At 39.4% G+C, this 22,339-nt stretch overlaps 1 protein-coding gene across 3 annotated transcripts in view; it reads left to right on the top strand.

The window, feature by feature from the left end:
• Positions 1 to 22,339, top strand: part of KDM7A (lysine demethylase 7A) — a 92,238-nt gene that overhangs the window by 63,151 nt on the left and 6,748 nt on the right. For 2 of the 3 annotated variants that reach the window (NM_030647.2, XM_011516587.3), the window contains 10 exons: positions 251 to 342; positions 2,649 to 2,738; positions 11,673 to 11,882; positions 13,810 to 13,934; positions 14,800 to 14,954; positions 16,191 to 16,288; positions 16,786 to 16,934; positions 17,070 to 17,278; positions 19,695 to 19,777; positions 21,756 to 22,029. In NM_030647.2, coding sequence (NP_085150.1) covers positions 251 to 342; positions 2,649 to 2,738; positions 11,673 to 11,882; positions 13,810 to 13,934; positions 14,800 to 14,954; positions 16,191 to 16,288; positions 16,786 to 16,934; positions 17,070 to 17,278; positions 19,695 to 19,777; positions 21,756 to 22,029 — 1,485 coding nt within the window. The other variant, XM_047420879.1, reaches the window with a different exon arrangement.

The following is a 22,339-nucleotide window of genomic DNA, read 5'->3' as shown; positions in this document are numbered from 1 at the left end:
CTCTACACAAAAAAATTAAATCCAATGAAATGGCCTTTCTTTTAACTGGAGTATTTAGTAAATTACATTGAATGTAATTCTGTTTCTTTATTGTCTTTTTGAATTGTTTCATATTTCACTTTTTATATTTTTATTAATTTGGAAGTTATATAGTTTTATATTTGGTGGCTACTCAAAATCTGAAGTTAATCCCTTTAACTTTAGAACATTTTAACTATTTTTTTTTCTCACCCCATTTCCATTCCTACAGAACTGAGAGAAGATGGTTTCCAGCCTCAAACTTACCTAGTACAGGGAGTGAAAGCACTGCATACTGCTTTAAAATTATGGATGAAAAAAGAAGTAAGTTGTTTCAACAGTGAAATCACTGTGTTTTATGCCACAAGATTAGGAAAACAGAGTCCTTGTGCTATTTTGGCAGCACGTGTGAATGCCAGTAGTAGAGGGAATAGAAATCATGCCTTTATATACAACCTGCATTTTATTATTCAGTATATACAAATGTACTGGCTTCTTTTATGAGAATAAAGTATTTATTTCTTTAATCTTCAATCTGGAAAAGAAAGTAATTCAAGTATATTTAGGAAATTGACTAAGAAATGAACATATAGGTAACATTGAGCTCTTACAGTTGTGCTATAGTGTGCTGAGAGCACTGTGCTTAATCTTTATACACATAATCTCATTTAATCCTCAATGCCAACTGTGTGAGGTCTAGGTGCTGTTGGTACCACCATTCTACATATGGGAAAGCCAAGGTTCAAAGAGTTAAGTAACTTGCCCAAGAGAACTGGTGAAGTTAGGACTTAAAACTTAGATCTCTGGGACTGCAAAGCCTATGCTCGTTACCACTCTGCTAGATTTATGTAAAAGTGAAGGAAAGGAGAGACCAAATTTCAAGCATGAGCTTTCCATTTTCATGAAAATATGAGCTAGTTGTTTGCATTTGAATCCCACCACCTCCAGATCTCCATTTGGAATTAGTGTTTCCTTCCCTTATGCATCCATGCTATATTTCTTGTGCCTATGGGCTTAAAACAAATGTTTATAAAGTAATATATTTGTGTTTCCTTCAACTGGGTCTGTGAGCTCTTGAACAGGGACTGTCTTTCTCATCTTTATTATAACTCCATGGAACTTTGCACATAATACTTTAATAGGTGATACATACATATGTGAGCTGATGAAAATACATGTCCATATTAATTTCTTTTTTTTTTTTTAGACAGAGTCTTAATCTGTTGCCCAGGCTGGATTGCAGTGGTGCGATCTCGGCTCGCTGCAACCTACGCCTCCTGGGTTCAAGTGATTCTCCTGCCTCAGCCTCCCGAGTAGTTGGGACTACAGGCACGCACCACCACGCCTAGTTAATTTTTGTATGTTTTAGTAGAAATGAGGTTTCGCCATGTTGGCCAGGCTGGTCTTGAGCTCCTGACCTCAGGTGATCCACCCGTCTTGGCCTTCCAAAGTCCTGGAATTACAGTCATGAGCCACTGTGCCTGGCTGTGTCCATATTAATTTCTTGAATGTCCCCTTGAAATAAAAATCTTGCTCTTAAGAAATACTGGGAGACAGTAATTAATAGGTTACTGCCTCAATGATTTTATACTCCCTTTTTACTGTATTATCATTGCTACATATCTGCTAGAGCACAACAGTGTGGAAGCATTCAGGAAAATAAAAATCATGTCCTCCACTGTGAAAGACCTTATTGTCTAGGTGACAAGGAAAGCCATAAGCAAATTTAAAACTGTTTAACAAGATAAAAACAAAACAAAGCATATGTTGCCAAAACTGTATAATTTGTTTCCTACTGAAGGCTTTAGATGTGTGATTCTCAAATTTGTGACTTTATCAGAATTCCCTTTAGAGCTTTTTTTTTTTTTTTGAGACAGAGTCTCACTCTGTTGTGCAGACTAGAGTGTAGTGGCACAATCTCGGCTCACTGCAACCTCCACTTCCTGGGTTCAAGTGATTCTCCTACCTCACCCTCCTGAGTAGCTGGGATTCCACGCCTGGCTTAGTTTTGTATTTTTAGTAGAGACGGGGTTTTGCCATGTTGGCCAGGCTGGGCTCAAACTTCTGACCTCAGGTGATCTGCCAGCCTTGGCCTCCCAAAGTGTTGGGATTACAGGCGTGAGTCACTGCGCCCGGCCTTCCCCTTTCCTATTGATGGGATCTTTTTTCTATTTTGCTTTTGACTATTAAAAGAAAAAAAAGTACAAAAATTTATTCAAATTAGATTTCCCAAGAGAAATTAGGATTACGTTAGTGTCTGTGTTCTCCTTAAAAATCCTTATGCATTATGAATTAAATGTTAAGCTTAATTTGTCACTTTACGAATTAGTAGTAGTAGTTAGAATTACAGTAGGCTTTGAGGAGTAGAGTACAAGGTTACTACTCAATGTAAAGCAAAATTCACTGTGAGACTAGTCTGTTTTTAACACAGTCTAAGAGGATTTTGTATGTTAATGAGAATCTCCTTAGAAGGCATTATACTAGCTACACGAACTCTGAAACCTGGCTTACTAGTATTTGGCGATGTCTGTAACAGTTTAGAGAATCCAAAAATTGGTTTAGTAAATTTGTTTTTACATATTAAAGTGTAAATAACTTTGGTTTTCTTATTTTTGTTAATCCAAATACAGCTTGTATCTGAACATGCCTTTGAAATTCCAGACAATGTTAGACCTGGACACCTTATTAAAGAACTTTCTAAAGTAATTCGAGCAATAGAGGTAAGAGTGGAAACTGTCATGTAAATGCTTGATTATTATCTGCTTTGAGAAGCAAATGGATCTATTCCACTCTCTACAAATATTTAAAAACTCTTACACACTTAGAAGAAATATAATGAGCTGAGTCTTTGGAGGTTTCTCAGGTTTTCAGGCCTCTGAAGTCCTTAAGAGAAATTTAAATATTGTATTCTAATGAATTCTAATGAAGTAATAAGGAAACAGTTACTAGTTTAGGATACTTAAAAAAAATCAAAAATACAGAGTATAAACAGTAGAACTTTCAGATACAGTTAATTTCAGCTACCCAGAGAGGAATACATGTTTATGTAATTAGAACAAGAGAAGAAATGTAAGGTGAATGAGTCAAGCTAGGGAAGCTGAGATGGAGAGAGGGATGATAAGCAGTAGAGTGGGGCAAGGAGATGCTTAGGTAAATGCCCTTTAATAAAAGCTCATAAAATCTGATGAGATGTTTTAATTTATTAATTGAGAGCTATTCTCGGTGTTTAAGAAAGGGTGTTTTAAAGTAATTCTTCAAGAAGGTTGTTCTGTTAGTGTCTAGCTTAAATTGAGAGGAAATTAGGTGGAGGAATGGAGGCCAGCTGATGATTTAACAGCTTACATTAGGGCTGTGTTTGGAGAATGGAAAGAGGTATACATTTACAAAATACTAAAATGCTTGCTTTAATATCAATGGATAGAATGTGTAATTCTCAATGTGTTCAGATAGAGGAGAAAAATACGTTCTGTTTTTAAAGTGTTACAGTAATCACATTTAAATTGATTTAGTATCAAAAGTCATATATCTAATCTTAAATATATATGTAAGTTTATACATATATAAATCTCATGCATGATAACCAACATGAAGAATAAACTTACTGTGAAAGGTATGATTCTATATGAAGAAAAACTATAAATCTTTACTTTTAGGAAGTAAAACAGTAGTTAAATGGGAGTGTCAGTCAGCTCTAAATTAGTATTACAAATTTAAAGTGGTAAAATACACTTGGAAGAGTAATTAAACTGGTCTAGAGAGCAGCCAGTTCAGGATGGATCAGAAGAATGAAAGGATCCATATTTGTTATGACCTGAAATTCAAGTTTAAGTGGGTGTCTGTTATTTTATCTGGCAATCCTATCCAGGAAGGATGTCTCCAGAGAAAAATATAAAATTATTAGATTACCAAATGTGTTTGAATGTTTGTATTCTTCTAGTGGATAATTTGGGAATCAGTTAGTGATTGAATAAGGGAATGTAATGACAATATGTTATGTGGCGCTGGGTTATCAATAATTTTTACCAAGTCCAATTTACTGAATATTGAAGGAAAGGGAGGTATGTGCATGTTTAAGAGAGGTGTGTAAGGATTAAGACTTCATCTTGCATGATAGGAATTCAGTAATATCTGAAGCTGAAAACAGTATAAACATATCATTTTGTAATTTGGAGGCAAATAACTACAGGGAAAACCATTTAGAAGAGTTGGAAGTCCTGGCTATATACCTAAAAGAATTGATAGCAGGGACTCAAACAGGTATTTGTACACCTACGTTTATAGCAGCATTATCCACAATAGCCAAAAGATAGACCAAGCAACCCAGGTGTCCATCAGCAGGTGAATAGATAAAGTGTGGGACATACTCACAGTGGAATACTACTCAGCCTTATAAAAGAAGGAAATGCTGACTGGGAGGATTCCAAGATGGCCAAATAAGAACAGCTCCAGTCTACAGCTCCCAGCGTGAGCGACACAGAAGATGGGTCATTTCTGCATTTCCAACTGAGGTACTGGGTTCATCTCACTGGGGCTTGTTGGACAGTGGGTGCAGCCCACGGAGCGTGAGCCAAAGCAGGGCGGTGCATCGCCTGTCCCAGGAAGTGCAAGGGGTCGGGGAGTTCCCTTTCCTAGCTAAGGGAAGCCGTGACAGACGGTACCTGGAAAATCAGGACACTCCCACCTTAATACTGCACTTTTCCAATGGTCTTAGCAAACAGCACATCAGGACGTTATATCCTGCGCTGGCTCCGAGGGTCCCACACCCACGGAGCCTTGGTCACTGCTAGCACAGCAGTCTGAGATCAAACTGCAAGGTGGCAGCGAGGTTAGGGGAGGGGCATCCACCATTGCTGAGGCTTGAGTAGGTAAATGAAGCAGCCAGGAAGCTCAAACTGGGTGGAGCCCACCACAGCTCAAGGAGGCCTGCCTGCCTCTGTAGACTCCACCTCTGGGGGCAGGGCATAGCTGAACAAAAGGCAGCAGAAACTTCTGCAGACTTAAACGTCCCTGTCTGACAGCTTTGAAGAGAGTAGTGGTTCTCCCAGCACACAGCTTGAGATCTGAGAACGGACAGACTGCCTCCTCAAGTGGGTCCCTGACCCCTGGGTAGCCTAAATGGGAGACACCTCCCAGTAAGGGCCGACTGACACCTCATACAGCTGGGTGCCCCTCTGAGACGAAGCTTCCAGAGGAAGGATCAGGCAGCAACCTTTGCTGTTCTGCAATATTTGCAGCCTCCGCTGGTGATACCCAGGCAAACGGTCTGGAGTGGACCTCCAGCAAATTCCAACAGACCTGCAGCTGAGGGGTCTTGACTGTTAGAAGGAAAACAAACAGAAAGGACATCCACACCAAAACCCCATCTCTAGGTCACCATCATCAAAGACCAAAGGTAGATAAAACCACAAAGATGGGGAAAAAAACAGAGCAGAAAAGCTGAAAATTCCAAAAATCAGAGTGCCTCTTCCCCTCCAGAGGAACGCAGCTTCTCGTCAGCAACGGAACGAAGCTGGACGGAGAATGACTTTGACAAGTTGACAGAAGTAGGCCTCAGAAGATCAGTAATAACAAACTTCTCTGAGCTAAAGGAGGATGTTCAAACCCATCGCAAAGAAGCTAAAAACCTTGAAAAAAAAGATATGACAAATGGCTAACTAGAATAAGCAGCACAGAGAAAACCTTAAATGACCTGATGGAGCTGAAAACCATGGCAAAAGAACTATGTGACGCATGCACAAGCTTCGGTAGCCGATTTGATCAAGTGGAAGAAAGGGTATCAGTGATTGAAGATCAAATGAATGAAATGAAGCAAGAAGAGAAGTTTAGAGAAAAAAGAGTAAAAAGAAACAAACAAAGCCTCCAAGAAATATGGGACTATATGAAAAGACCAAATGTACGTCTGATAGGTGTACCTGAAAGTGACGGGGAGAATGGAACCAAGTTGGAAAACACTCTTCAGGATATTATCCAGGAGAACTTCCCCAACCTAGCAAGGCGGGCCAACATTCAAATTCAGGAAATACAGAGAACGCCACAAAGATACTTCTTGAGAAGAGCAACTCCAAGACACGTAATTGTCAGATTCACCAAAGTTGAAATGAAGGAAAAAATGTTAAGGGCAGCCAGAGAGAAAGGTCGGGTTACCCACAAAGGGAAGCCCATCAGACTGACAGCGGATCTCTCGGCAGAAACTCTACAAGCCAGAAGAGAGTGGGGGCCAATATTCAACATTCTTGAAGAAAACAATTTTCAACCCAGAATTTCATATCCAGCCAAACTAAGCTTCATAAGTGAAGGAGAAATAAAATCCTTTACAGAGAAGCAAATGCTGAGAGATTTTGTCACCACCAGGCCTGCCTTACAAGAGCTCCTGAAGGAAGCACTAAACATGGAAAGGAACAACTGAGACCAGCCACTGCAAAAACATGCCAAATTGTAAAGACCATCAAGGCTAGGAAGAAACTGCACCAACTAACAAGCAAAATAAGCAGCTAACATCATAATGAGTGGATCAAATTCACACATAACAATATTAACCTTAAATGTAGATGGGCTAAATGCTCCAATTAAAAGACACATACCGGCAAATAGGATAAAGAGTCAAGACCCATCAGTGTGCTGTATTCAGAGACCCATCTGACGTGCAGAGACACACATAGGCTCAAAATAAAGGGATGGAGGAAGATCTACCAAGCAAGTGGAAAACAAAAAAAGAGCAGGGGTTGCAATCCTAGTCTCTGATAAAACAGACTTTAAACCAACAAAGATCAAAAGAGACAAAGAAGGCCATTACATAATGCTAAAGGGATCAATTCAACAAGAAGAGCTAACTATCCTAAATATATATGCACCCAGATTCATAAAGCAAGTCCTTAGAGACCTACAAAAAGACTTAGACTCCCACACAATAATAATGGGAGACTTCAACACCCCACTGTCAACATTAGACAGATCAACGAGACAGAAAGTTAACAAGAATATCCAGGAATTGAACTCAGCTTGCACCAAGTGGACCTGATAGACATCTACAGAACTCTCCACCCCAAATCAAGAGAATGTACATTCTTCTCAGCACTACGTCGCACTTATTCCAAAGTTGACCACATAGTTGGAAGTAAAGCACTCCTCAGCGAATGTAAAAGAACAGAAACTATAACAAACTGTCTCTCAGACCACAGTGCAATCAAACTAGAACTCAGGATTAAGAAACTCACTCAAAACTGCACAACTACATGGAGGCTGAACAACCTGCTCCTGAATGACTACTGGGTACATAATGAAATGAAGGCAGAAATAAGGATGTTCTTTGAAACCAATGAGAACAAAGACACAGCATACCAGAATCTCTGGGACACATTTAAAGCAGTGTGTAGAGGGAAATTTATAGCACTAAATGCCCACAAGAGAAAGCAGGAAAGATGTAAAATTGACACCCTAACATCACAATTAAAAGAACTAGAGAAGCAAGAGCAAACACATTCAAAAGCTAGCAGAAGGCAAGAAATAACTAAGATCAGAGCAGAACTGAAGGAGATAGAGACACAAAAAACCCTTCAAAAAAATCAATGAATCTAGGAGCTGGTTTTTCGAAAAGATTAACAAAATTGATAGACTGCTAGCAAGACTAATAAGAAAAGAGAGAAGAATCAAATAGATGCAATAAAAAATGATAAAGGGGATATCACCACCGATCCCACAGAAATACAAACTACCATCAGAGAATACTATAAACACCTCTGTGCAAATAAACTAGAAAATCTAGAAGAAATAGATAAATTCCTCAACACATACACCCTTCCAAGACTAAACCAGGAAGAAGTTGAATCCCTGAATATACCAGTAACAGGCTCTGAAATTGAGGCAATAATTAAGAGCCTACCACCCAAAAAAAGTCCAGGACCAGACGGATTCACAGCCAAATTCTACCAGAGGTACAAAGAAGAGCTGGTACCATTCCTTTTGAAACTATTCCAATCAATAGAAAAAGAGGGAATCCTCCCTAACTCATTTTACAAGACCAGCATCATCCTGATAGCAAAGCCTGGCAGAGGCGCAACAAAAAAAGAGAATTTTAGACCAATATCCATGATGAACATCGATGCAAGAAATCCTCAGTAAAATACTGGCAAACCAAATCCAGCAGCACATCAAAAAGCTTATCCACCACGATCAAGTCAGCTTCATCCCTGGGATGCAAGACTGGTTCAACATACGCAAATCAATAAACGTAATCCATCATATAAACAGAACCGAAGACAAAAACCACATGATTATCTCAATAGATGCAGAAAAGGCCTTTGATGAAATTCAGCAGCCCTTCATGCTAAAAACTCTTAATAAAGTAGGTATTGATGGAGTGCATCTCAAAATAATAAGAGCTATTTATGACAAACTCACAGCCAATATCATAATGAATGGGCAAAACTGGAAGCATTCCCTTTGAAAACTGGCACAAGACAGGAATGCCCTCTCTCACCACTCCTATTCAACATAGTGTTGGAAGTTCTGGCCAGGGCAATCAGGCAGGAGAAAGAAATAAAGGGTATTCCGTTAGGAAGAGAGGAAGTCAAATTGTCCCTGTTTGCAGATGACATGATTGTATATTTAGAAAACCCCCTCATCTCAGCCCAAAATCTCCTTAAGCTGACAAGCAACTTCAGCAAAGTCTCAGGATACAAAATCAATGTGCAAAAATCACAAGCATTCCTATACACCAATAACAGACAAACAGAGCCAAATCATGAGTGAACTCCCATTCACAATTGCTTCAAAGAGAGTAAAATACCTAGGAATCCGATTTACAAGCGATGTGAAGGACCTCTTCAAGGAGAACTACAAACCACTGCTCAACAAAATAAAAGAAGACACAAACAAATGGAAGAACATTCCATGCTCATGGATAGGAAGAATCAATATGAAAATGGCCATACTGCCCAAAGTAATTAATAGATTCAATGCCATCCCCATCAAGCTACCAATGACTTTCTTCACAGAATTGGAAAAAACTACTTTAAAGTTCATATGGAACCAAAAAAGAGCCTACATTGCCAAGACAATCCTAAGCAAAAAGAACAAAGCTGGAGGCATCATGCTACCTGACTTCAAACTATACTACAAGGCTACAGTAACCAAAACAGCATGGTACTGGCACCAAAACAGAGATACAGACCAATGGAACAGAACAGAGCCCTCAGAAATAATACCACACATCTACAACCATCTGATCTTTGACAAATCTGCAATGGGGAAACGATTCCCTATTTAATAAATGGTGCTGGGAATGGCTAGCCATATGTAGAAAGCTGAAACTGGATCCCTTCCTTACACCTTATGCAAAAATTAGTTCAAGATGGATTAAAGACTTAAATAGTAGACCTAAAACCATAAAAACCCTAGAAGAAAACCTAGGCAGTACCATTCAGGACATAGGCATGGGCTATGACTTCATGACTAAAACACCAAAAGCAATGGTAAGAAAAGCCAAAATTGACAAATGGGATCTAATTAAAGAGCTTCTGCACAGCAAAAGAAACTACCATCAAAGTGAACAGGCAACCTACACAATGGGAGAAAATTTTTGCAATCTACCCATCTGACAATGGGCTAATATCCAGCATCTACAAAGAACTCAAACAGATTTACGAGAAAAAATCAAACAACCCCATCAACAAGTGGGCGAAGGATAGGAACAGACACTTCTCAAAAGAAGACATTTATGCAACCAACAGACACATGAAAAAATGCTCATCATCACTGGCCATCAGAGAAACGCAAATCAAAACCACAATGAGATACCATCTCACACCAGTTAGAATGGCAGTCATTAAAAAGTCAGGAAACAACAGGTGCTGGAGAGGATGTGGAGAAATAGGAACACTTTTACACTGTTGTTGTGACTGTAAACTAGTTCAACCATTGTGGAAGTCAATGTGGCGATTCCTCAGGGATCTAGAACTAGAAATACCATTTGACCCAGCCATCCCATTACTGGGTATATACCCAAAGGATTATAAGTCATGCTGCTATAAAGACACATGCACACGTATGTTTATTGTGGCACTATTCACAATAGCAAAGACTTGGAACCAACCCAAATGTCCATCAATGATAGACTGGATTAAGAAATTGTGGCACATATACACTGTAGAATACTATGCAGCCAAAAAAAGGATGAGTTCATGTCCTTTGTAGGGACATGGATGAAACTGGAAGCCATCATTCTCAGCAAACTATCACAAGGACAAAAAACCAAACACCGCATGTTCTCACTCATAGATGGGAATTGAACAATGAGAACACATGGACACAGGGTGGGGAACATCACACACTGGGACCTGTCGTGGGTTGGAGGGGGGGGGAGGGATAACATTAGGAGAAATCCTAATGTAAATGACAAGTTAATGGGTGCAGCACACCAACATGGCACATGTATACATATGTAACAAATCTGCACGTTGTGCACATGTACCCTAGAACTTAAAGTATAATAATTAAAATAAAAAAAAAAAGGAAATGCTGACACATGGTATAGCGTGGATGAACCTTGAAGATATTTTGCTAAGTGAAATAAGCCAGTCACCAAAGGACAAATTTTATAAAATTCCACTTATATGAGGTTCCTAGAAGTGTCAAATTCATAGAGAATGCAAGTAGAATGGTAGTTGCTAGGGGTTGGCGGGAAGGGAGAATGGGAAATTATTGTGTAGTGGGTACAGTTTCAGGTTTCAGTTTGTGCAGATGAGAAGCTTCTCGAGATGGATGGCAGTGATGGTTGTGCAACACTGTGACTCTACTTAATGCCACTAAACTGTACACTTAAAAATTGTTAAAATGGCAGATTTTATGTTTATGTTACCACAGTAAAAAAATGTTGCAAGTGGTTGCCTCTGGAGAATGAGAGGGATGGGGAAGAGGAGGCTGCTATTTTTCATGATATGCTTATAGAATATTTAATTTTTAAAACTACATAGATGTATAATTTTAGTTTAAAAAGTAATTCTTAATTTATTCAAATATGTACGTGAAAAGAATGTTCATTGTCGGAAAGAACAGCAGCCTAAATGGCTACCAGTAAGTATTAGGTCAGAAAATTAACAGTGGAATGCAACACAGCCTTTAATAAGATATTGAAAATCAAGGCCCAGTGCAGTGGCTAATTTAACACCGGTAATCCCAGCACTTTGGGAGGCCGAAGCAGGTGGATCCCCTGAGCTCAGGAGTTCAAGACCAGCCTGGGCAACATGGCAAATACTTGTCTCTAAAACATTAGCTGGGTGCAGTGGCGTGCGCCTGTAGTCCCAGCTACTTGGGAGGCTAAGGTAGGAGGATCGCTTGAGCTCAGGAGGTGGAGATTGCGGTGAGGCAAGATTGCACCACTGCACTCCACACACTGCAGCCTGGGTGACAAGAGCGAGACCCTGTGTCAAAAAAAAAAAAAAAATCAAGGAAGTATGTTCACAGTATATTATGTTGGAGAGAGAAGGGATATAAAGTTCTCAGCAAAGCTGTTTGAAGCTTAGGATTTAGTCTTTTTTGTGTTTATATGGTTAAACTGAATGGTTTTTGTTTTCTGAAATATTTTTATGGATGATTATTTAGTCACGTATGTGTGTAACAGCCTTCTTATAAAAATACTCTGATTTTAATTCTTAAAGGAGGAAAACGGCAAACCAGTTAAATCTCAGGGAATTCCTATTGTGTGTCCAGTTTCACGATCCTCAAATGAAGCAACTTCCCCATACCATTCCCGAAGAAAGATGAGGAAACTTCGAGATCATAATGTCCGAACTCCTTCTAACCTAGACATCCTAGAGCTCCACACAAGGGAGGTCCTCAAAAGATTAGAGATGTGTCCATGGGAAGAGGCAAGTATTATGTTTCATGACAACAAAAAGAAACTTGGCTGTTCCTTAAAGTCTTTATAGGGATAATAAGAGAATAGTCTTGACTATTGTTGATATCTAATCTTGGCTGCAGCATTGTAGGGATCAACCAGTAGTTATGCCTGTGACAGGGAGTGGTGCTTAATCTTTCTAAGTTTTAGTGTAGAATTTGAATGAATAGACCTCATTCGATTGCTGATATGTTTATTGAGTCTTTAGCAAGTACCATTTCCTCTTCTAGGCTCTGGAGAAGATTGTGAGCAAAACTTAAGTCCCTGCCCCTCATGAAGCTTCCATCCTAGTTCAAGCTGGAAGGATGGGGAGACAGAGACATATACTAAAATAATACAATTTCAGATGATAAGCGTTATTTAAAAAAAACCCAAAACAATAGAACAACAGAATAAAGGGGGATGGGGTAAAGCTGGCTGCTTTAGCTAAGGTGGTCAGAGAGCCTCTCAGGTTTGAACCGACAGCTGAGTAACAAATAGGAAGAAGTCAAATGGTTACGTGGTGATTGGAGGAATGGCATTACAGGCAGAGGGAAGAGCAAATGCAGAAAGCCTCTACTTGAGCCAGCAGTCAGCCTGGAGGACTGTTAGACTGGGAGACTGTCAGAAGAAACTCTTAAACTTCGTGAAGTGCTGGCCTACTGGACAAAGGGGAGAGTGGGAGGTAGTAATGAGATCAGTGTAGCGCCTTTGCAGAACATGGTAGTGACTTTGTAGTGAGCTCTGCATCATCCATACTTTTACATCCCAAGAAGAGGATAAGCAGCCATTTTAAATGAATAAGATCGAAGAACCAGGTGCTGTGGTGTGGGCCTGTAGTCCCAGCTACTTAGGAGACTAAGTCAGGAGGATCATTTAAGCCCAGGAGTTTAAGGCCAACATAACTAGATCCTGGCTTAAAAAAAAAAAAAATTGGGAGGCCGAGGCGGGTGGATCACGAGGTCAGGAGATCGAGACCACGGTGAAACCCCGTCTCTACTAAAAATACAAAAAATTAGCCAGGCGCAGTGGCGGGTGCCTGTAGTTCCAGCTACTCAGGAGGCTGAGGCAGGAGACTGGTGTGAACCCGGGAGGCGGAGCTTGCAGTGAGCCGAGATCATGCCATTGCACTCCAGCCTGGGCGACAGAGCGAGACTCCGTCTCCAAACAAACAAACAAACAAACAAAAAAATATATATGTATATATATATATATATATATATATATATATGTGTATATATATATATATATATGTATATATGTATATATATATATATATATAACTTTTTAAAATATTTTAAATTGTATGTAATTATAATGTTTTAAGATTATGCTGTTCTAAACTGTAATCATCAGAGAAGATTAAGCTTATTATGAAAGGTTCTATTTATTATTAAGGGGAAAATCACTATGAAAAGGAAGTCTTTTTGATTCATTAAAACCCAGCTACTGCCTTTATGTCGCATGGTGACCCTTGTTCCTAGTGGTAGCAGTGTGGTGAGCTATAAGTTGCTGACTAGGTATTAGATGAAGGATGGGTGAATGGAAAGGCCCAGTAGCTAGCACTTTAGCAGGAAGAAGCAAGGGGAAGAGAGCTAAAATACTCTGAGGCAGTGCTTCTCCAGTTTTTCAGCTTTCTGCAAGAATGAAATTTCTTTGAATTCACTTTATGCATATTTTATGTTTTACTTTCTAGAATGCATTTCATGGTTAATGGCCCTCCAGAAAGATGAGCCATACTCTTACTTTGGCTTTAGGAACTCTGGAGTGCCATACTGCTGCATATCCCCAAGCCCAGGTGGCTGCCTGTATCTTTGAGATGCAGGACCATGGGGGAGGTGGTGGTATACTGTATTCCATCAGTCGAACAGGGCTACCTGAGGGTGGATGGTAAGTAAGTTCTGCATTTATACCTTCAGGACATCTTGAGCTCTAAACTGAATGGAAAATTCAACAAACATCTCCAACCATCCTCCACAGTACCTGAATGGAGAGCGAAAGATAATGATCTACGATTACTGCTGACAAATGGAAGAATAATTAAGTATGTAAAGTAAATCAGAGTATCAAATAGATTAATTTTCATTGGGTTCCCTTTGTTCATTTAACCCAGTGGTCCTCAACCTTTCTGGCACCAGGGACCGGTTTTGTGGAAGACAGTTTTTTCTCAGCCAGGGAATGGTTTTGGGATTAAACTGTTGCACCTCATATCATCAGGCATTAGATTCTCATAAGGAGTGTGTAACTCTTGGACATGTGTAGTTCACAATATGGTTCACGCTCCTATGACAATCTAATGCTGCCACTGATCTGACAGGAGACAGAGCTCAGGTGGTAATGCTCACTCACCCACTACTTACCTCCTGCTGTGTGGCCTGGTTCCTAACAGGCCACGGACTGGTACCAGTCTATGGCCCAGGGGTTGGGGACCCCCGTTTAATCTGTAATGAGCTCAGTGGCTCACACCTGTAATCCCAAGTTGATTTGGGAGTCTGAGGTGGGAGGATCTCTTGAGACCAGGAGTTTAAAACTAGCTTGGGCAACTTAGCAAGACTCCATCTCTACAAAAAAATAAAAATAAATTAGCTGGGTGTGGTGGCCATGCCTGTAGTCCTGGCTACTTGAGAAACTGAGGTGAGAGGATCGCTTGAGCCCAGGAGTTCAAACTTACAGTGAGCTATGATTGTGCCACTGCACTCCAGCCAGGGCAACAGAGCAAGACCCTGTCTCAAAAAACAAAAACAAAAAACGAACCTCAGATCCCTAGCGCATACTATTGCACAGTTGAATGAAATATGGGGACAGTGTCTCAATTCTCTACTCTTTGTAAATTAAGGGAGAGGGGAATAAATACTGTTTGGCTACAGAGTCTTGCACTATATTCTGATTACTTTTCCTTCTTAATACAGAGATGAAAGGCAGCCCTTTGCAGATCAAAGTCTTTATACAGCAGATAGTGAAAATGAAGAGGATAAAAGAAGGACAAAAAAGGCAAAAATGAAGATAGAAGAGAGTTCAGGAGTAGAGGGAGTGGAACATGAAGAATCTCAAAAACCACTGAATGGTATGTTTTTTTAATGGTTATTTTAAAGATCTTTTGATTACTAATGTGATAATATGTAAAGTAACTTGCTAATTTTGAAGTTCTTAAGTTTAAAATAGCAGAAAACTTTTGTGTCCCTAAAACTGTCTTGAAAAATCTGAAGTATGAGAGAAGTGCTGAACGTGAATGCCCAGTGAGGTATACGCCCAGTGGCCAGGGGCGGTGTTCTCAGTGAGGGGATGTTTGTGGGTTAGAGCTGCACTCATCTAGTCAGTTTTTAAAGAGTCACTTGAAAGCTCATGCATGTTATAGGCCTCTACTCCCCAAAATAAAAGTTTCAAGTTTCGTTTAATTTTATATGTAAGTTCAGCTACCATGTGTATGGTTTTCAGAATTAGGAAGTATATATGATTAGCTAATCTGAAGCTGTTAGTAATCCATGCATTGTGGTTTTAATTGATTACCTGTTGACAAGAAGGCCTCTACTGGGTTATTAATTGGTTATCATCAGTATGGCAAAATAGTAACACCTCCTTCTCCTTAAGGTCTTTCTTCTTTGAATTAAGCCTTAGTTTCTCAATATATTTCAGGATCTCTGTATTCCTTTCTATTTTAAAAAGTAGTTCAAATATATACTTTGGTACTTGACAAATAAATGTTTCAGATAACTAACATTATTTAATCCATGTTGAACACCCCAGTTCCTGCTAATCTGAGTGAAATTGGCACTGCTGTAGTTGGTGACTCTGTCTTTGCACACACCAGGTGCTAATCAACAGGAATCCATCAAACCATTGCTATATGTTAGTGACTCATGAAAGAACCCAGTTTATAAGCGTGTTGAATTCACTATCTACGTGAATGCGTTTTACGTTTGGGAAGGTTATCTTTTTGTTTTCTAATGATACAACTAATGCAAAAGGAGAAGTGTGAAAAGCATCTGATAGCTAATTTTAGTTTCAGCATTTTTCTTCTGGAAAGAAATACAAAACAGTCAATCCATCCAAGTAAGGAATATATAATTATGGAAATACCACACTTAATATTTGAGAATATACTTCAGTCTGTGTCTTGGCCAATTAGGGAGAAAGACCTTAAGGGGAGAAAGAAATGAAGAAAATAAAAGTGAAAAAGGAGGGTAGAGCAAGAGAGATTGAGAGACATCACAAGCTGGGTGGACTTTAGATACCATCTTGTCACCTTGTTCATCGTAGTCAAATGACTTTCTCTTTTTCTCATCCTTTCATTCTTTTTCAGGGTTTTTTACACGTGTGAAATCAGAACTCAGGAGTAGATCATCAGGATATTCTGATATTTCTGAGTCAGAAGACTCCGGACCCGAGTGCACTGCACTGGTACGCCTGAGACCCCATGGCTTGTACGTTATTTGATGGAAAGATGAGCACCACGTAACTTCTCCTGGAAGCAAGGCAAATGACAGCTTTTCTCAAAGCTTGTCTGTCTGACTTACATTAGCACAGGGTCTTCTGTGGTGGTCAGTGTACACACATGCCATCATGTGACCATTCACATTTGAGACATAGAGCTTTTGTCTGATTTTGGAAAGGGTAGAGGGAGAGACTCCTTTGCTTATACTATTCTTGTTTCATATTTCTCATGGATTATATTTTATTTTACCTTAAAGAAAGCCTATACTGTGTATTTTTTTAATCAAGGTAGTATGTTCATGTAGTTAATAGAGATTATCATTTTTTTCATGTGAATTACAGAAATAATTCCCTGATAATTAAGATTCTGACTTTCTCTAGATGTATAAAATCTTTTCGGATTCATTTGTACAGACTTGGTCAATTTCTTATGTAGCTTTGTTTCCATGTAATTATCATCTCAGAAAAGTATCTTTACCACTGAAGAGTCTGAAAGTTCAGGTGATGAAAAGAAACAAGAAATAACATCCAACTTTAAGGAGGAATCTAATGTGATGAGGAACTTCCTTCAAAAGAGCCAGAAGCCATCTAGAAGTGAAATTCCAATTAAAAGGTAGGCTTGCTGATAGTAGTAAGTCTTATTATATTGTAAGGTAAATACTATGAACACTTTTTTTAGTTTTAAATTTTACCAAAAATGTCATCAGAAAAAATAGACTCTTGTGTTTTTGGATCATCTCTTCTTTAGGGAATGTCCTACCTCGACGAGCACAGAGGAAGAAGCTATTCAGGGCATGCTGTCTATGGCAGGGTTGCACTATTCCACGTGTTTACAAAGGCAAATACAAAGCACAGACTGCAGTGGTGAAAGAAACTCTCTCCAGGATCCCAGCAGCTGCCATGGCAGTAACCATGAGGTTAGGCAGTTGTATCGCTATGATAAACCAGTGGAATGTGGTAAGAAACATAAATTATCAGTCTCTAAAAAGTAACATATGTTGCCCAACTTAATGGCTCAATAATCCTCATTTAGGTTAGAGATTATGAATAAGCATCTTTAATTGGAAATGTGTTAAGAAGGTTGACCAAAAAAAGCACAATGCTGACATATCACGTAAGATGGAAGCAGAAGAACTCAAAATGTAAATTACCTGGGATTGACAATTGTGTTCACTAGCATCATTCTACCATTGTTATTGCAAGCCAGTTAGTATTATTTCCCTTTTACAGACAGGTTGATCAGAGTGGAAGGAGTGTTTTGGTGCCTTAAATGGCCAACTAAGCTTGAACAATCAGCCCTTTTTCCTTTTATGAGAGGAAAAATAAGTTTTAAACTGTTTCTTTCTGATTGAGGCTATTCCTTCTCCTACTTGAAAAGAAAGTATTAGGAAAAGAGGGTAGACTCAGTGGCAGTGTTAGGCATGCCACATAGTGTTTTCTTCCTTGTGCCTTTAGAGAAAATGTTTGTATCCCAAAAAGCCTGAGGAGGACCGGGGAGAAGATAGTACTATATTAAAATTGAATGCCTATATAATAAATATGTTTGATCCTACATAATTATCAATTGTATACCAGGAGCTTGACATCCATTTCACTGAAATAATTTTTTTTATTATTTATTTATTTATTTATTTTGAGACTGTCTCACTCTGCTGCCCAGGCTGGAATGTAGTGGCACAAATATGGCTCACTGTAACCTCAACCTCCAGGCCTCAAGCAATCTTCCTGTCTCAGCCTCCCAAGTAGCTGGAACTATAGATGCATGTCACCACACCTGGCTAATTTTTTTATTTTTTGTAGAGACGAGGTCTCACCTATGTTGCCCAGACTGGTCTCCAACTCCTGAGCTCAAGTGATCCTCCTGCCTCTGCTTCCCAAAGTGCTGAGATTACAGGTGTGAGCCACCATGCCTGGTTATTTCACTTAATTCTTAAAACAATACTTGTAGGTAAAATCACTCCCATTTTACAGGTAAAGGAAATAAGACTTAGTAAAACTAATTTAACTTGTCTGTACTTCATGTAACTATTATTCAGTGGTATTGGAATTTGAAGCCAGGACCATCTGATCTCAAAGTCTTTGCTTATTGTATAAGAGGAAATTGAAGTTTGGAGAGGATAAATAAGTTGCCTAAAGTTGCGTTGGTAATGGAAGAACTCAAATTCAAATCTGGGTTTGTCTCTTTTTGTACTGCACCATTTTGTCTTCCTTTAGTCCCTTGAAAGAGAACACTTCTATGGAAATACTGCAAAATTCAGGCAAATACCTGCCTTTATTCTATGTGGAAAAATATACCATTTTTATAGAGAATTATTGCATTGGTTTTACATATACAATAGGCGGCCATGGAATTTGATTCTAGATCACTGGGCGCAGTGGTTCACGCCAGTAATCCCAGCACTTTGGGAGGCCGAGGTGGGCGGATCACCTGAGGTTGGAAGTTCAAGACCAGCCTGACCAACATGGAGAAACCCCATCTCTAGTAAAAATACAAAAATTAGCCGGGCGTGGTGGCGCATGCCTGTAATCCTAGCTACTTGGGAGGCTGAGGCAGGAGAATCGCTTGAACCTGGGAGGCGGAGGTTGCGGTGAGCTGAGATTGCGACATTGCACTCCAGCCTGGGCAACAAGAGGGAAATTCCATCTCAAAAGAAAAAGAATTTGATTGTAGATCTTCCAGCATCTAGCCCAAAACCCATCATATAAAGACAGTCTTTGAGGCTGGTCTGAGTATGGTGTTTATAACTATTTGATCACAAACAATTACAGATTTCTTTGTTTCTTCTCCATCTCACTGCTTCACTTGACTAGAGAATGAATGAATAAATGAAGACAGTCTTTGAGAGAATCAAAAGAATTAGCATAATAGGTTATGAATTGGTGACTTTTTGTTTTTGAGGGAAAGGCATATAGTGAAGGTAAAGGTATGCAAATGAGTATCTAAAGAGTTAATGTGTTTTTAAATACAATGTCAACATAAATTTGCTTGCTTTTTTTTTTTTCCCCCAAGATGGAGTCTCACTCTGTTGCCTAGGCTGGAATGCAGTGGCATGATCTCAACTCACTGCAACCTCCACCTCTCGGGTTCAAGTGATTCTCGTGCCTCGGCCTCCCAAGTAGCTGAGATTACAGGCGTCCGCCACCATACCCAACTAATTTTTGTATTTTTAATAGAGACGGGGTTTCACCATGTTGGCCAGGCTGGTCTCGAACTCCTGACTTCAAGTGATTGACCTGCCTTGGCCTCCCAAAGTGTTGGGATTACAGGCGTGAGCCATCACGCCCAACCTGCTTTCATTTTTAAGCATTAGGCTAATTTTGTCATTTCAAATCAAGTTTGTGCAAAGTTAATTAAACTAAAACTTCTCTTTAGGATACCATGTCAAGACTGAAGATCCAGACTTGAGGACTTCCTCCTGGATTAAACAGTTTGATACTTCCAGATTTCATCCTCAGGTATATTCAAAGTTTGAAACGTTAAAAGGAGATTTAAAATGATCATTAACGTTGTTTTTGCTTTCTTTTTTAAAACTGTAACAACCAGTTATCAACTGCTAGATCTAGGCAGCCAGAAAATTACAGTTAAATGCACATTTGAACAACTGTCCATTTTGAGAGATGCCGAAATGATAACTAACATAAGGCTCATGGATAGAATGTGATCTGGAAAAGAATAATTTATTCAAGGAAGCAGTTAAACCACTGGCTGCCAACCCATGTAGGTTATATCTGGTTAGAATGAAATATTCAAGGAAAAGATGAATATCATATCTTTTTAATCTCTGATGCTGTTTCTTGAACGGTTTTGGATACTGAATTTCTTTGAGCATTTGATGAAAGTTACAGATTGTCTTTCTAGAAAATACATTCATGATAAACACAACTTTTGCTTACATTATCAAATGAACCCAAAATAGCAGTTTTGAAAAAACTAAAACTTTATCAGCAGCACCAAACAAGAGAAGTGATACAACCTTTTTTTGCAAACCTTGGAAAATGGCAGCCAAAGAAAGAATCAAAGTTCTCATGTGGCACTGTGGGGCCCCAAACCTCTCTACCCCAAGCACACATAAGAAAGAAAGTAAATCAGCAAAGGCAGAAATATTGCCTCTAGTTCTCCTCTGAGTGAAGAAACATTTGTGGGGGAGAAGGGAAGGAGGGAAGAGGAGACAGAGGGGAACATGAGTCGACTGTTTAAGAAGTGAAGGGAAAAATCTCTTATGAATAAAGCTTTCACATGGCACCGAAAGACCTCAGCAGAAGTGAAAAAGGCCTCCTGGGTTTTGCCATCTTCCAGAGCCCTGAGGTGACTGGAGGAATGGATTAAAATCCCTGGAGGAGGAGACACCCGTGTATATAGACAGAAAAGACTCTACCCCTAAATATGGAACATCATTAATCTCTGAGTAGTAGAATTATGGGTGGTTTTTATTAATTTTTTAAATTTGGCTTGTCTATATTTTCTAAATATTTAAGCAATTACTTGCATAAGAAAAAGAAGCAAGTTTTTTTTTTAAAGGAAGGCTTTGTGAGTATACGTTCTTTGACTAGAAGGATACATTCCAGAGTCAAAGGTCATAAGAAATCTCATTATAATTTACTTTTCGGTGTATGATTTTATAGTGCCTCACTGTAGCTGGTCATAAAGTTTATCACTTACTAGCACTATAGGATTCATTATGTAATTTGAGCTATTATTTAAATCTGGCTGTTCTTTTTATAATTGTTTTTGAAAATAAATGAAGACATAGAGGATGGATGATTAGCATAATGAAAACTGGTTTCATGAAACATTCACACTATAGTGTACTCTGTTCACATCTAGTCTGTTCCTTTCTCTTTTTAGTGCTGGTTATAACCCTCTCAGTTAATTTCAAGACTCATCAATCAGTAGCGTTTTTTTTGCCCCCTGAAAGTTTACTCGATAGTCTTAAGAGACTGAAAGAGTAGTTGTAGTGAAAGGAAAACACCAAGCTTGGCACTCTGGATCTAAGGATTTCCTAGCAAAAAAATACAGTGGAGATGAACCTGATAGAAGATAGACTCTAGAAAAGAACATGACACATGAGAGGTCCAAGGGAGCTGTGACTTGCCAGGGAAGTGGGAGATCGATCCATTCCCCCAGCTCAGGGTCCCTGCGTTGGCATGTGCTCACTGAGCTGAGTAGCAAGTAGGGCGTGGTGCCTGTTTACGTTGTTTTCTCTCACTCTCTCTTTCGCCTTCTTAACTTAACGATGCAACTTAAAGACCCGAGTCCTTCAGAGCTACTGAGACGACATCATGCAGGAGTGGTCATCCGTGGCTAATAGATGTTAAGAAAATCAGAATTCAGTAGTTTGTTTCTTCTCTCACTTGACTTTGCCAATGCATAGAGAGCTTAAATACCTCATTTAAACCCTAAAAATTCAGCCTCATGTCCTTCCTCCTCCTTCAGGATCTAAGTAGAAGCCAGAAATGCATCAGAAAGGAAGGTTCATCAGAAATTAGTCAGAGGGTACAAAGTAGGAATTATGTGGACAGCAGCGGCTCAAGCCTTCAGAATGGAAAGTATATGCAGAATTCAAACCTGACTTCGGGGGCGTGCCAGATAAGTAATGGCAGTCTAAGCCCAGAAAGGCCAGTTGGTGAAACTTCCTTCTCGGTGCCCCTTCACCCCACCAAGAGACCGGCATCAAATCCACCACCTATCAGCAACCAGGCAACAAAAGGTAACTTTCACACATGTATAGAGAAAGTATATTTCTGACTGTATGTGATGGTCATCATGGCAGTTGAGGTGTAGTCTCTGCACTCAAGTTGTTCAACATCTCATGCATAGTAGACAGCATAGTGATGGCAGTATACACAGGCTACTACAGGAACAAAGAAAAAGGATACCCAAGTCAGCTCTGAGGAGCGAGAGACAGATCCTAAAATCAGATGTTCAGGGGTTAGCCAGGCTGAATTGGGGAAAGTGACAGAATAGACAGCTTTGAAGGCAGAGGATTGAGCCTGAGGCAGGGCACAAAGGGGAGAAGC

Source organism: Homo sapiens, chromosome 7, assembly GCF_000001405.40.
Source record: "Homo sapiens chromosome 7, GRCh38.p14 Primary Assembly".
Taxonomy (NCBI): Eukaryota; Metazoa; Chordata; class Mammalia; order Primates; family Hominidae; genus Homo; species Homo sapiens.
Note: the sequence above shows the minus strand (reverse complement) of the source record. Positions and strands in the feature narration are given on the sequence as shown.